At 40.0% G+C, this 14,789-nt stretch overlaps 1 long non-coding RNA gene across 1 annotated transcript in view, besides 2 other annotated features; it reads left to right on the top strand.

Annotated features, from left to right (window-relative positions):
- Nucleotides 1–8,555, top strand: part of CT69 (cancer/testis associated transcript 69) — a 49,868-nt gene extending 41,313 nt beyond the window's left edge. The window contains exon 5 of the long non-coding RNA NR_125852.1: nucleotides 8,370–8,555. This is a non-coding gene — a long non-coding RNA (cancer/testis associated transcript 69). The remainder of the gene's footprint in view (nucleotides 1–8,369) is intronic.
- Nucleotides 484–1,683: an enhancer, noted in NCBI's record as "BRD4-independent group 4 enhancer chr6:134757040-134758239 (GRCh37/hg19 assembly coordinates)". NCBI's record gives its function as "activates an origin of replication core promoter dependent on BRD2, P300/CBP, MED14 and CDK7 cofactors, and independent of BRD4, by STARR-seq in HCT116 cells {active_cell/tissue: HCT116}" and the evidence as "EXISTENCE:reporter gene assay evidence [ECO:0000049][PMID:35650434]".
- Nucleotides 1,040–1,334: an enhancer, noted in NCBI's record as "tiled region #14472; K562 Activating DNase unmatched - State 5:Enh, and HepG2 Activating non-DNase unmatched - State 22:ReprW". NCBI's record gives its function as "activates a minimal TATA promoter and a strong SV40 promoter by Sharpr-MPRA in K562 cells, with weak activation in HepG2 cells {active_cell/tissue: HepG2 | K562}" and the evidence as "EXISTENCE:reporter gene assay evidence [ECO:0000049][PMID:27701403]".
- Nucleotides 8,556–14,789: the final 6,234 nt, after the last annotated feature.

Raw genomic sequence — 14,789 nt, 5'->3', positions numbered from 1 at the left:
ACAAAACACGGTGGGTGGACAGCACCCCCTGAGGGAGATGGAGATGCTGGTGAGTGGGTCGATAAGGAAGTCACTCTGCCAGCCGCCTCCTTCTTCCCAAATGTGCACAAACTCCACCTTGTAAGGTGTCCAAGGACAATGACTTATTCCACAGCAGGTGCAAACACTCAAGATTTCAGTGAGTGTCAACCTCAAATAGCTTAGGTGCTGAATCTAAATTCCACAATCTGTCGACCTGACATCGTCCTCTCTTCAGGTGTTTATATGGCCCTGGAAAAAGAAATAGTTCCATTACATAAAAGGAATTACAAAAATAATGCACCCAAACTCCAGAGAGTACTTACAGTCTTGCATCATTTTGCAATAGTTTCAGTTTCAGATCTGCATAGAATGTTGACCAGGGATAAGGTTTAACAAATCTTAAGTATGAGCATTTTGGGTCTTTTATTTCCTTAATTTCATTGAAAATAGCTGTGTCATTGACACTTTTTAGGCATATCATTATATGTATGCTCAGAGTTCACTTCCAAGAGAGTAAAATATGGCAAAGGATCATTTTAATCCAGTTGTTATCTTTTTATTTATACCCAAATTTTGTATATCTTATATGACAATTGATTTCTACTTTATCTGGTTGTATGATGAGGATGAGTTATTTTTTAAAAACACAACTGTTACTTATAACTTAAACCCAATTTGGGCTTCATAAGAATTGTCCTTCTTTCAGGCTAATATTTATGCTAACAATTGTCACAACCATAATGGAGGAAAAAAATATTTTAAGGACAAGAATGTCACTTGAGAATAAGTGAACACCCCCTGTGACCTGGCATTTCTTGGAAGAAAGGAAGGTGCTGTGACATGCCCCTGTCATTCTGAGGTCCTCTGGAAAGGGCTGTCGTTCACAGTTGCCTGGGCAAGGCTGAGCAGGACGCACGTTTGGTGACTCAAAACATGCCGTTAAGAGTAACTAGGGTGGAACGATGCATAGCCACCATTTCAATTATGTTGGGCTATCAAAACTTTCTTAGGCAAAAGATTAAACATGTTTTTCACCAATTGTAATGGTGCTTATTTCGTTGTGTTTTGTTTTTTAAATGAGCTATTGTTAGTGCCTGTTTCTCAGAAACATAACTTACTGTAAGAATCCACACACAGGCTTAGTCACACAGCCCACCCCTCCTTTGTGCGTTTCAGATGAACAAGGGGCGTGTCTGCAGAGCATTTGCCACTGACTCATTGCACTCCCCACACAGTGAGCGATGAGCAGTAAGTGACCAGGAAGATGACAGAATCCCATCATTGTTTTGGTATTTAGAAACTAGTAAACAGTGAAATCTTGTTTTAGCTACAAATAAAAACAAAAATATTCCATTCCTTTCTCTTCTCGAGGGTGTGCATAGGTGGAAGTGAATGTGCTCTTGTATGAGGACACATACACCTCGTTATTCAAATAGGTATGAGGAGACTCCAGAGAGCTGTGTTCTTAAGATCTATGTAGGAATAAGTAGTAGTTGCCAGATAGGGTTATTACCAAGGAAACCTAAGGCTGAAGTATATAAAAATCTGCCCACTGATGACTTTGTTTGACTTTCGGTTTTCTCATTTTAATTACAGGATGCTCTGCAGCCTTACCATCCCTTAGTCTTTCCTCTACAAATATAGTATTCATAGTAATTCACTTAGTTTTCTATGACATTGAAATGAAAATTATAGGTATAAAAATTAGGTTTACAAAAATCATTTGGAATTCTTCTGCACTGAGGATTTGTCTACTCTCTCCTATTTGTTCAGTTCTTTAATCACTTATTTTCATCAGTATGGGCATGTGGATATTTATCTTAAGCTTTGAGTTATAGTCCAACAGCGCACTGTTGATCGATTGATTGATTTGCTTAAATTGTTTCAGTTTTGGCCATTGGGAACTTTTTCAGCCGTGTGTCTTTTTGACATATTCCCATCACTGTGGATTTTTTTTTAATTTTTTTATTTTTTGCTCTCATTTGAGTGCCTCCTTGCCTTCTGGAACTACAAGATGCTGCAGGCTTATCTTAGGTATTCCCTTCCCCGTCCTAAAATCAGCCATGTCTCCAAGTAACCATTGGAGAATGGTATTAGAAATCAAGATTGGGGCCGGGTGTAGTGGCTCACGCCTGTAATCCCAACACTTTGGGAGGCTGAGGCAGGCAGATCACCTGAGGTCAGGAGTTCGAGACCAGCCTGGCCAACATGGTGAAACCCTGTCTCTACTAGAAATACAAAAAATTAGCCGGGCTTGGTGGTGGGCGCCTTGAATCCCAGCTACTTGGGAGACTGAGGCAGGGAATCACTTCAACCCGGGAGGTGGAGGTTGCAGTGAGCCGAGATCACACCATTGCACTCCAGCCTGGGGGACAGAGCGAGACTCCATCTCAAAAAAATAAATAAATAAAAGAAATCAAGATCTTCTTGCTACTGGAATGTTGACAGAACAGGGAAATATATACGTGTGTTCTAATAATTATATGTACACATATCTATAAGTATTTATATATGTAATTATTCGTATCTATATTAAGCTAAATGTGAGTGCATACAGTTGTCTCAACTCTAATCCTATACCACATGGATCATTCTAGCCTCTTTCCTGTCTTTGTATGTCACCTTCCACTCCAACAGTGAGAAACCTGGCTCCCACCATCCACCATCCACTCATTTATTTGCTCAATACCAGTACACATGAATAACGCCCTCAAAATCAAACTATACTCCTGAGATGCAACTTTATTGACGAGAATACAGTGCTTACATACAGTTTATTTTGCCTTTGGTCTTGTAGTCTCCATTCATTTCTAAAGTTGTTTAGGTCAGCAACTTTCCTCCCACCTCCTTCAGGGAAATTATTTTATACATCTGTAAGACACTTAGATTGTTTTGTCATAGCCTGCACTCCATTCTGGGATCCCCTAATATCCTAAGTGATTTTTCAAAAATTTGTATACATTAGGGTGCACAAAAAGCAATTTTTTGTGCTGTAACGTTCTACTCACCACTCAAGGACTCTGGTGTAACTCCCCACCCTGTTAAGTATGGGCTCCACATAGTGACTTCCTTTCCAAAAAATACAGTATGAAAAGGGTGGGGCGGAGGGCAACTTTACAACAGAGAAAGCTGACAGACATCACCCCAGCCAGGTGATCAAGGTTAACGTCACCAGTGATGTCGTGTTGATAGCAAGTACCCTTGATGTGATGTGGTGAGGATGACACTTTACCTCTGTGATCTCCTCAAAACCCATAACCCCAGTCTAATCATGAGGAAAACACTCTAGAAACACCAACTGAGAGATATTTTACAAAATACATGACCAAGCTTGCTCAAAACTGTCACCATCATCAAAAATAAGGAAAGTCTGAGAAATTGTCACAATCTAGACGAGCTTAAGGAGACAAGATAACTCAATTTTTTAATTTGTTTGTTTATTTATTTATTTATTTATTTACTTTTGAGTTGGAGCCTCAATTTATCACCCAGGCTGGAGTGCGGTGGCACAATCTCGGCTCACTGCAACCTCTGCCTCCCAGGTTCCAACGATTCTCCCACCTCAGCCTCCTGAGTAGCTGGGATTACAGGCGCGCAGCACAATGCTCGCGAATTTTTGTATTTTTAGTAGAGAAGGGGTTTCGCTATGTTGACCAGGCTGGTCTCAAGCTCCTGACGTCAAGTGATCTGCCTGCCTCAGCCTCCCAAAGTGCTGGGATTACAGGCATGAGCTGCCACACCCAGCCAGATAACTCAGTTTAATGTGATATCCTGGATAGGCTCCTGGAACAGAAAAGAGACGTGAGGTAAAAACTACGGGTATCTGGCCAGGCGTGGTGGCTCACGCCTGTAATCCCAGCACTTTGGGAGGCTGAGATGGGCAGGTCAACTGAGGTCAGGAGTTTGAGACCAGCCTAGCCAACATGGTGAAACCCCATTTCTACTAAAAATACAAAAATTCGCGTGGCATGGTGATGGGCACCTGTAATCCCAGCTATTTGGGAGGCTGAGGCAGGAGAATCACTTGAACCCGGGAGGTGGAGGTTGCAATGAGCTGAGATCACACCATTGCACTCCAGCCTGGGCGACAGAGTGAGACTCCATCTCAAAAACAAAACAAAACAAAAACAAAAAACTATGGGTATCTGAATACGGTATGGACTTTAGTTAATAATGTATTAATATTGGCTCATTGGTTTTGACAAATGTACCACACTCATGTTAACAATAGGAGAAACTGGGCGTGGGGTGCATTATAGTTATCTTACTTTTCTGTAAACCTAAAAGTATTATAAAGTTAAAAGTTTATTTTAAAAAATAAAGCAGAAAAAATTAGAGCTGATGCCTTAAGGAGAATGGCATTTGCAAATCTGGGGAAAAAAAGAGATTTAGGGATTTTGCTTCATTTGAGTTATAAAACATATTTTTCCTACTAAGAAATCTTCTAGGGTTTTTGATTTTTTTTTGTTAATTTAAAACTGGGGCACTGCATATGAATCTAGCAAGTAGAAATGACCCAGAGGAGCTCATCTCTAAAGATGCATTTAGATTTTTCTTGCATCAAGAATGAGCTGATGACCCCAAAACCTTATTCTAAATGTTAACGAGCATCTATTTAACTGAAAATTGCTATATTCTGAAATACTGTCTGGGTCTCATACTGAGTAATTGGGATATAAGCTCATATCTATTTTTCTTTCGAATTATTCCTTTAAAACGTATCAGACTATGTTATTGGAAGAGAAAAACTGGATTACTCAACCTGATTGTGTCCTCAAAACCTACACAGAAGGGTTTTTGTTTTTATTGTGCTAAAGTATGTATAACATAAAATTTGCTATTTTAATCATTTTTAAGTGCACAATTCAGTGGCATTAAGTACATTCACAATGTTGTATAACCATCATCACTATTTTCAAAACTTTTCTATCAGAACAGAAACTCTATCCAGGATATTCACATTTTGTATAGCCAGTGGTGGACACTGAAGCTGTTTCCACCTTTTGAATATCCTACACAATAGGTTTTCTACGTGTGTTTTCTTAAAAAGAAGAAGAAAAAAAAAAAGGCTGAGAGCAGTGCCTCATGCCTGTGATCCCTGCACTTTGGAAGGCTGAGGCAGGCCGATCACTTGAGCCCAGTAGTTTCAGACCAGCCTGGGCAATATAGTGAGACTCTTGTCTCTACAAAAAAAAAAAAAAAAAATTAATTAACCAAGCATGGCATGTCTATAGTTCCAGCTACTCAGGAAGCTGAAGTGGGAAGATCACTTGAGCCCAGGAGGCAGAGGTTGCAGTGAACCAAAATTGCGCCACTGTACTCCAGCCTGGGCAATAGAGTGAAAATGTTGAACTTCCCTGGAATGCAAAACTTGGCTTAATTGTTGTTAGCATCAGTGCCTACCATTTGATGTCAAATGGTAAGTAAACATGCTGGAAATGAATCCATGAATTTTGTGGCTCTAGAGGCCTCAGACCGAAGTCATAGCTGAACAGGTAACAAATCTTTCAGACTCTTGCTTCTATTGTTTGTTCATTTATGCTTATTTTTGTTTTTGCACAACACTTCTAAATGTTATGCCCTTATATTCCCTTTTCTTTATCCCTGTTGTAGTGACTCTACTATTGTTAATAAACCCTGATCATTCAAGTGATTTATGTTGACTATTAACTAGTATACCAATTACTGTCATTGTTTATAAAAATCAAGTTCTGCTACTGGCACAATTTAACCAGGCTCTATATATGATAGGAACGTGAGCTTGAGGAGTCACAATTGCTGGAATTTGCTTGGGGAATTTGCCTGCCCCAAATGAAGCTCCTCTTTTCCCTTAACCTAGCTTCTCAAGATTCTCTCCCTTAGTTGAAGATATTACTCGTTACCTAATCATCCAAGAAAGACCTCAGAGAATTACTCTTGACTCCGTCCTCCTTCTTACTCCCTATTATAAATCCCACATAGTTTGCCTTGTGTAAATATTTTTCAAATTACCCACCCCCCATTCCCTTTCCTGCTTCCACAGCTGTGATGGAATCCCTCAACTTTCTTTTCAATATTTCCTGTAGATTTAGACAAGAAGGAACCTGCCCCTGGGTGTGGGGCTATAGAGGGAATGGCATTTCACAAATACTTGCACACACACACACACACACACACAAATGGTTGAAGAACACATGGTTCCTCTGTCATTCAGGACCTGATGCTTAGCATTAGAAGAGTCAACTCAATCCCAAACATCCACTCTCATGACTAACAGTATTCAAACCCCAGGGAAACACATCTCCATTTGTCTTCTCCACATCTCTTCCCTTAACGATTCTCCAAACAGGATGGGCACGGTGGCTCACACCTGTAATCCCAGCACTTTGGGAGGCCAAGGCAGGCGGATTACGAGGTCAAGAGATGGAGACCATCCTGGCCAACATGGTGAAACCCTGTCTCTACTAAAAATACAAAAATTAGCTGGGCGTAGTGGCGCGTGCTTGTAGTCCCAGCTACTCAGGAGGCTGAGGCAGGAGAATCTCTTGAACCGGGGAGGCGGAGGTTGCAGTGAGCCGAGATCGCGCCACTGCACTTCAGCCTTTAGCCTCTTGACAGAGAGAGACTCTGTTTCAAAATAAAAAAAAGGAAAGAAAAGAAAACCATTCTCCAAACAAAAGGCAACTATCTGAAAGCTATTAAATTGTAGGTTGGGTCATTACCTACATAAGAGAAAAACACTGCTTCCTTCACATTGCAGAGGAATTTCAGCAGGCAGGTGTTTCGGGAACTGGAAAGACAAATTAATGAACTTGCTGTTATAGATTAAATGGTGTTCTCCCCAAATGTTTATGTTGAAGCCCTAACCCTCAGTACCTCAGCATGTGACCATATTTGAAGAAAGGGTCTTTAAAGATGTAATTAAGTTAAAATGAGATCATTCAAGCTGGCCCTAGTCTCATAAGACTGATTTTTTATAAGACGTTCGGACACAGACACACATAGAGGGAAGACCATATGAAGACACAAGGAGAAGACAGACACCTACAAGCCAAAAAGAGAGGCTTCAGAAGAAACCAACTCTGACAACACTTTGATCTTGCCACCCAGTCATTTTGTTATGGCAGGCTTAGGAAACTAATACACTTGCCAAACTCTTCCTCTCAGAGAGCATAACAAAATATTGGTTCCCAATTGTGCCAGTTTCCTGTTTCTCTTTGTATTCTAATTTATGGTTCCTAGTAGCACCTCCACATTCTGGCCCTGGTCCTGTACCTGAAAAAGCTCCACCCTGGCCCTCCTCTGGCCGTGCCTTTCCTCACAGGCCTAGTAGTACAGAGGGCCAAGGTATGCCTACCTGAAGCCCATCTCTCTTCCCACTCTAGATTTCCCTGCACAAGTAGTCCTGGGCCCATTGCCAGGACCTGTACGGGCCTCGTCCCTGAATCCTTTCTCCTAACGATTGATTATGCCACCACTCTGCACACCACTAAGTCTGAGAGATGGCCCAGAGCAGCTGTTTGTGTGTGATATGGTCAGAGCTTGAACATGCAGACTGGGATATCCATATGCAAGTATGCAAGATCCCACAAGACATGGGGGTGGAGCTGAAGGTGGCAAGAGAAGGGGGTGTGAAAAGTAGGAGTGAGAGCTGGGGGCTGGAGGACAGATTTACTTACACTTTTTTACTTATTCCTTCTGACATGGTTCTCTGAGAAGACCAAGAGTTCTAAATTTGAACGTGACTTTCCAGATCAACAACGTATATTCACAAGATTAGGAAATAGAAAATGTTTGATGTTATTGTTTGTTAATATGATTTACACCTTCTAAATATTTAGACACATGTTGTGTGGGTCTTCACATATTGCTTCAGGCCCCACAAATATTAAGAGCAGGCTTGGTGGTTCTAGAGGAACTCTTGAATTAGAGCAGTATTTTCTATAGTTGCTCATGGAGAATGGGGAACATTTTGCAATACTAAACAATTCATATTACTCTTATATTTGTATCTACATAGGTCTAGACATAATATGTGAAGTATGATACCAATTTTAGTATCAGCAATAGGTGAATATTAAAATTAAAATTGCAAATAGTTGTGTTTTGTAAATATCATAAAGGCTTTTTAAAAACTCAACAAAAATTTTAGCTAGTTGAAATAATTTTGATTTAAATTCTTATTAGATATTTATTATAATTTGTATTTTACTTTTAATTTTAATTATTTTAAATATTTCAGATGAAAAATATATTTTAGGAGCACATATAATTTTATTTTCCTTACTGCGATTTTGTATTTTTTGACAAAAATACATTACATTTTGTACACATTGATTATAATTACACTTTCTGTTTTATTCCTATAGAAAAAGAAAAAAAATGGCATTATGATACAAACAGAAAATGTAACAGTGGAGTGCAGAAAATACAAAAAAAAGGAAAAAATAAATAGAAAATCTTCAAAGAGGCAATCTGTTTAAATCTTCAAGAACTGGAAACAGTAAAAGTGAACAGGTTTTTATTGAGCATGTCAATAAAATGTTTGCATAAGACTTTACAAGTGCTTTATTTCATGAGGTTTTTATTATTGATCAAAGCAACGAAAATGAACGGGAAATTCATTCTCATCAAATCTACAACTTGGGAGGAGGTCCGATGAAATCCCTGGAAGCTCACATTTTTTATAAATGAAGAGTTAATTACCGGTGGGAACAATGAGAACCTCTGTGGTTCTTCCTGATGCTTGGATCCTCCCAGACCTCTGTTTCCAGTCTCCTTCTCCACAACCTGGCCTATGCGATGCAAGTGGTCTAACTGATCTCCGCCTAGGGAAGGATCCTTCGGCAACTTGCCGACAAGAGAAGCAGCGATGCCCGAGGCAGGTCCAAAGGAGCACTGACTGCGTGGGATTGATTACACTGGAGGAACAAAAGGTCCTGTGGCTACACAAGTTTGAAAAGCAGAAGGTACAATCATTGTATTTCTGGCAGACTTTTCAAAGACTTTAATATATGAATCCCTCATATGAATCTCCTGGAGGATTATATAATAGGCAGATCTCCCAGCCATTTTCACTGAACAGTTCTTAGAATTGGTATCCTTGAAAAATTTCACCTAACCACTCAATATGGTAGCCACTAGTCCTGGGTGGCTATTGAGCACCTGAAATTTGCCTAGTCTGAATTAAGACACATTCTAAGAATAAAGCACACTGTATTTCAAAGGCAGTACAAAAATAAAAAAGAATGTAAGCTGTCTCAATAATAATTTTTGTATTGAATACGTGTTGAAATGATGTTATTTTTGATATATTGAGTGAAATAAATTGTATTGCTAAAATGAATTTTACTTGTTTTGTTTTACTTGTGCAATGAGGTTACTAGATAATATAAAATTCTGTCTGTGGTTTGCATTATTTTTCTAGGATGATAATGAGCTAGAGGACAGCATGTATGTAAGACCTTCAGGATTTAGAGTCTGGCTATCTCTCCAGCTCTCTGTCTAAATACTGTCTTGCTTTGGGTTCCCATCTCTCCAGATCGCTTAAAGAAACCCCTCCCTGTCCCTGCCAACAACCACCACAGCAGACAGCCTGACATCTCTATCTCTTGCTCATTTCAACTTATGGGATGACATCTGGCCAACACTTATTCAGCCTTCAGGTATTAAGCAACAATCACCCACACAGGAAGCCTATCTGGAAATCCAGGCACACCTATCCCCTGGCCTGATTAGGTGGCCTTTCTCCATGCATCTATCATTTCCTGTGTACACCTCTATCCTAAACTCACTATATGGTTTTATAAGCATCTGCTTATGTATCTCTCTTCTAATACATTGTGAGCATCTTGAGGGCAGAGATAGGTCTTACCTTTTTTTTTCTTCAACAGAGTCTTGCTCTGTCGCTCAGGCTGGAGTGCAGTGGTGCGATTCCAGCTCACTGCAACCTCCACTTCCCAGGTTCAAGTAATTCTTGGGCCTCAACCTCCCAAGTAGCTGGGATTACAGGCGTGCACCACCATGCCCAACTAATTTTTGTATTTTCAGTAGAAATGGGGTTTCACCATGTTGGCCAGGCTGGTCTCGAACTCCTGGCCTCAAGTCATCCACCTGCCTTGGCCTCCCAAAGTGCAGGGATTACGGGCGTGAACCACTGCCCACACAAGTTCTTACTTATTTTTATATCTCTAGCACTAATCACAGTGCCTGGTGTATTAGGCCCTCAATACATATTTAGTAAATGATTTAAGAATGAAGTAGACACGGTTCCCACCTTAAAAGAGCAAAGCTAGAAGAGGAGGCAGATATGTAAATAGATAGTTAAAATGTGTTGCTTTAAATAGTGTTAAAAAATGGTGTTATTTTGAGTTGTATGAAAACTCTGAGCAGAGAATCTAACAGGGCTGGCTCTGTGGGCATACGACCCATGCTGTGGCACAGACCCTGCACTTACAAGAGCCTAGTGCTTAGTTTAATACTCTGTGGTCACTATCTTGATATTCTTAATAATTTTTCAACACGCAGTTGCACATTTTCATTTTGCTCCAGGCCTTTCAAATTCTGTAGCTGATCCTGCACTAACCCATGTGGGACTAGGATGGGGTTGGAAAGTTGAGGAAGAGTGTCTGAAAGAACTAAATGAAGCTGGGCTGGGAAACGGGATGGGGAAACCCATCAAAGCAAAAGGAACTGTCTGCACAAAGGCTCAGAAGTTCAAGAGTACATGGCTGGCAGCACACCCAGGCTGCAGGACAGCAGACCGGAAGGAGCAGCAGTAGAGTGAATGCGCTGCTCCAGAGTGGACTTTACACTGAAGACCATGAAGAAGCTTTGTGTGGATTCAGGTGGAAGAGTCGTATGTTTAGATTTGCATTTTAGAAAACTTACTCTAGGGAGAGGGTTAGAATATTTTGGTGGTGTTGGTAAGGGAAAAGAGGTGTACAGATTAAAGAGCTGAAGCAGGATTACCAGGGAAGAGGCTACTGAGTAGACTAGATGAGGTGAAGCCAGCATGAGCTGAGAATGTGTTGTGGGACAGAAGAGAGACCTAGGCTGGGTGTGGTGGCTCATGCCTGTAATCTCAGTACTTTGGGTGGATGGCTTGAACTCAGGAGTTTGAGACCAGCTTGGGTAACATGGTGAGACCCTGTCTCTAATATATATATATGTATATACCAAAAAAAAAAAATAAATAAATAAAACGCCTGGCTGGGTGCAGTGGCACACACCTGTAATCCCATCTACTCAGGAGACTGAGGTGGGAGGATCAGCTAAGCCCAGGAGGTTGAGGCTGCAGTGAGCTCTGATTGCACCACTGCACTCTAGAGCTTGAGCAACAGAGTAAGAACTTCAAAAAGAAGAAAGAAAGAAGGAAAGAAAGAAAGAAAGAAAGAGAGAGAGAAAGAAAGAAAGAGAGAAAGAAAGAAAGAAAGAAAGAGGGAGAGGGAGGAAGGAAGGAAGGAAGGAAGGAAGGAAGGAAGGAAGGAAGGAAGGAAAGGAGACCTGAAAGAAGCAGAATCAATGGGATTTGACAGTCCATAGAATGTGGGAGCTAAGGTAGGAAGGCAGGTCAAGGATGCCTCCCAGATTCCAGTGAGTCAATGTTTTGTGTTTCTTCTCTATGTATAGATTGTTTTGTTTGTGTGCTTTCTCACCAATGAAGCGTGAACAAACTCCACACATCTACATGATTACTTTTTATTTCTGAGCTATTATGTCATCCAAACGTGGTCTTTGTGTTGTCTCTAGAAGTTGAATGTTTCTATTAATGGCAATGTGGCCGTGGTCTTTTAGAAAACAGGCTGGTTCTTGCTTTTTTGGCAGAGTTATTGGAAGGGCAATCGCAGCCCTCATCCTCTTGATGTAGGGTGAATGCCCAGTGGGTGCCCTCTGCTTCTCAGTTAACATCTCACAACAACATCCTGTCACTGAGATTGTTTTTTCCATATTTGGAGACAAGAAAACAATGACTCAGGTTAAGTAAAAGTTAATAGCAGAGTGCGGTGGCTCATGCCTGTAATCCAAGTACTTTGGGAGACCGAGGCAGGAGGATCGCCTGAAGCTTAGAGTTTGAGAGTAACCTGGGCAACATAGTGAAATCCTCATCTCTATAAGAAAAATTTTTTTAAAATTAGCCAGGTGTGGTGTCACATGCCTGTAGACCCAGCTACTGGGGAGGCTGAGGCAAGAGGATCGCTTGAGTTTAGGAATTTCAGCCTATAGTGAGCTATGCTCACTCCACTGCACTCCAGCCTAGGTGATAGAGTGAGGCCTTGGCTCTAAAAAAAAGAATAAACAAAGAATAAAAAGAGATAATAAGTAGAAAAGAAAAGATTCAAAGCCCTTTTTTCTGCTGTCATGTTCTACACTCTTTCTATCAAATAACACTTGCCTCAAGGGACTAACCAAAGAAAAATTGAACATACAGATGATCTTCACCTCAATATTCCTAAGCTTTCTTCCTTTGCCCATCATTTTTATGGTGGAGATGGCTGAAAAAGAATATAAACTGTAAATAATATGAGTAAGAGGGGAGAGAATCACAAGAGTAGAAGAGTTATAATATTCATTAAATGACTACAGAGGCAGGGAAAACCCGAGTGTGATGACATTAACATGGTCATGAAAAAGTCATAGAGAATCACAGTTACACAACACTATAGGTGAATGCACCTGCTTGATCTCTCTTGTCATATCACCTCCCCCATTCTCTTTTCTTCATAGCATTTATACTGTTTTATAGCATCCTCTGAGATTATCCTAATTATCCTGTGTTTATTAATATTTACTAATAATTATTTAGCTCCTGCATTCGAATTTTCAATTCCTTTGGGCAAGGATCATGGTGTTTTGTTCAATGCTGCATCCCCAGAGCCTAGAAAAACATTGGTGCATAGTAATTACTCAATAAATATTTGTTGAATGAATGAATGTCATCAAAAAGCAGCCAGAGGAAAATGACTTTTAAGCAACATGGTATAAACAAAAAAACTAGCTGAACTTGTTTTACTTATCAACATTGGTTATGAAAGGTTGTATATAACCAATACTTACAGGGTAATTTCTTTTCCTACAACTGATACAACTGATATTTCCTAAAAATATAAAAGGAAGTCTCAAAAATCCCTGAAAGATATGCAAGTAATCTCAGGGGGAAAAAAGTTACAAAGATTACTTCATTATAAGGCACTAAAAAGGAAACTTATAAAAGCCACGCTGTATTTTCCTGTTAGGGCAGTGTTAAATAAATTACTCAGCAAATTCTCAAGTTGTGTAAGAATAGTGCTTTGGCCCAAAATTTAGGAGCCAGTAAGTCAAACTGGAAATAAGACCATTTTTTTTTTAATGGACAATGAGCACTCACTCTCTGAAATTCTCATCTTTTATCTTACTGTAGTTTTTTTAAATACTTATGTCATTTTTACCAAATAGTAGAATTATTTTTATACATTGGAAACTGAAAAGCTGATCTTGTGCCTTTCTTATATAAATAACCTTTTTGAATAAAAAGATAAACATGAATGAATAAAGAAGTAGACTCCAAGTTTTAAACAGTCTACTTACAAAGAGTGTTTTAAAGCATCACCATTTTGTAAGTTGGGAACTGTCTGTATTTTTTATTTTATTTTATTTTATTTTATTTTATTTTATTTTATTTTTTTTGAGACAGAGTCTTGCTCTGTCATCCAGGCCGGCGTGCAATAGAGTCATCTTGGCTCACTGCAACATCCAACCCCTGGGTTCAAGTGATCCTTCTGCCTCAGCCTCCCAAGTAGCTGGGGTTACAGGTGTGTGCCACCACGCCTGGCTAATTTTTGTATTTTTAGTAGAGACAGAATTTCACCATGTTGGCTAGAATGTTCTTGAACTCCTAACCTCAAGTGATCCACCCGCCTCGGCCTCCCAAAGTGCTGGGATTACAGGCGTGAGCCACCGCTCCTGGCTAGTATTTATACGTAGTAAACAATATCTTATAGGCCTTTCATCACAGACCAACTTTTCTTAAACTCATCAGTATTTAAAACGTCTGCTTCTTAGGAATTCCTTCTTGTATGAAACTATGTCTTCTAAACATTCTTTTGGCAATTCTTTAAACAAATAATAACTGATACCTACGACAATTGCCAAATTCTTCTTGTTTCTAAATTCTCCTTTGCAGTTTAATAAAAACAGTCATATTCTCTCCTGCAAAGTTCCTGTATCTCTTCTCCCTTTCCTTTTGGGGATCATAAACCATAAGTAGCCATCTTTCATAGCTTTTACTTACACATTTTCCCTACACTTTCACTTGTGTTTTACAGTCAGAAAAGAAGAGCAACGGTTAACGCAGACACAAGAGTGTGCAAGCCAGCCCCAGTCCTTCCTCACCTCCCACCCAACAGCATCAGCCTTGCCCTGTCTTCCCCAGACATGGCCACAAATCTATCTAATCACTTATTCTCAGTTTCCTCTTCCTGAACCCTCCCAACACCAAAAGTGGCAGCTCTGACAGAAAAATACCAAACCCACTTCCATCTGAGTTCCCTAGGTTTGGTGTAGTCAAAACAACTGCTTCGCCAGTTGACTCATCTCACAGGTCACTCACCAACTCATGGTCGTCATCATTATCTATAGACCATGGAACATTCTATCCATCTGGTTAGAAAAGTGACTAATAGTGTTGGGATTTTTTTCGCCACAAAAACAAGCATTCCGTCTCTTTCATTTTGGTGTGGAATGTGAGGCCTCCATTGCTGAGTACTTTCACCACTGTGATTGAGGAAATTTTCATTTGGTAAGAAATTGAG

This window comes from Homo sapiens, chromosome 6, assembly GCF_000001405.40.
Source record: "Homo sapiens chromosome 6, GRCh38.p14 Primary Assembly".
NCBI classification, from domain to species: domain Eukaryota; kingdom Metazoa; phylum Chordata; class Mammalia; order Primates; family Hominidae; genus Homo; species Homo sapiens.
This window is presented reverse-complemented; position numbering and strand designations above follow the sequence as displayed.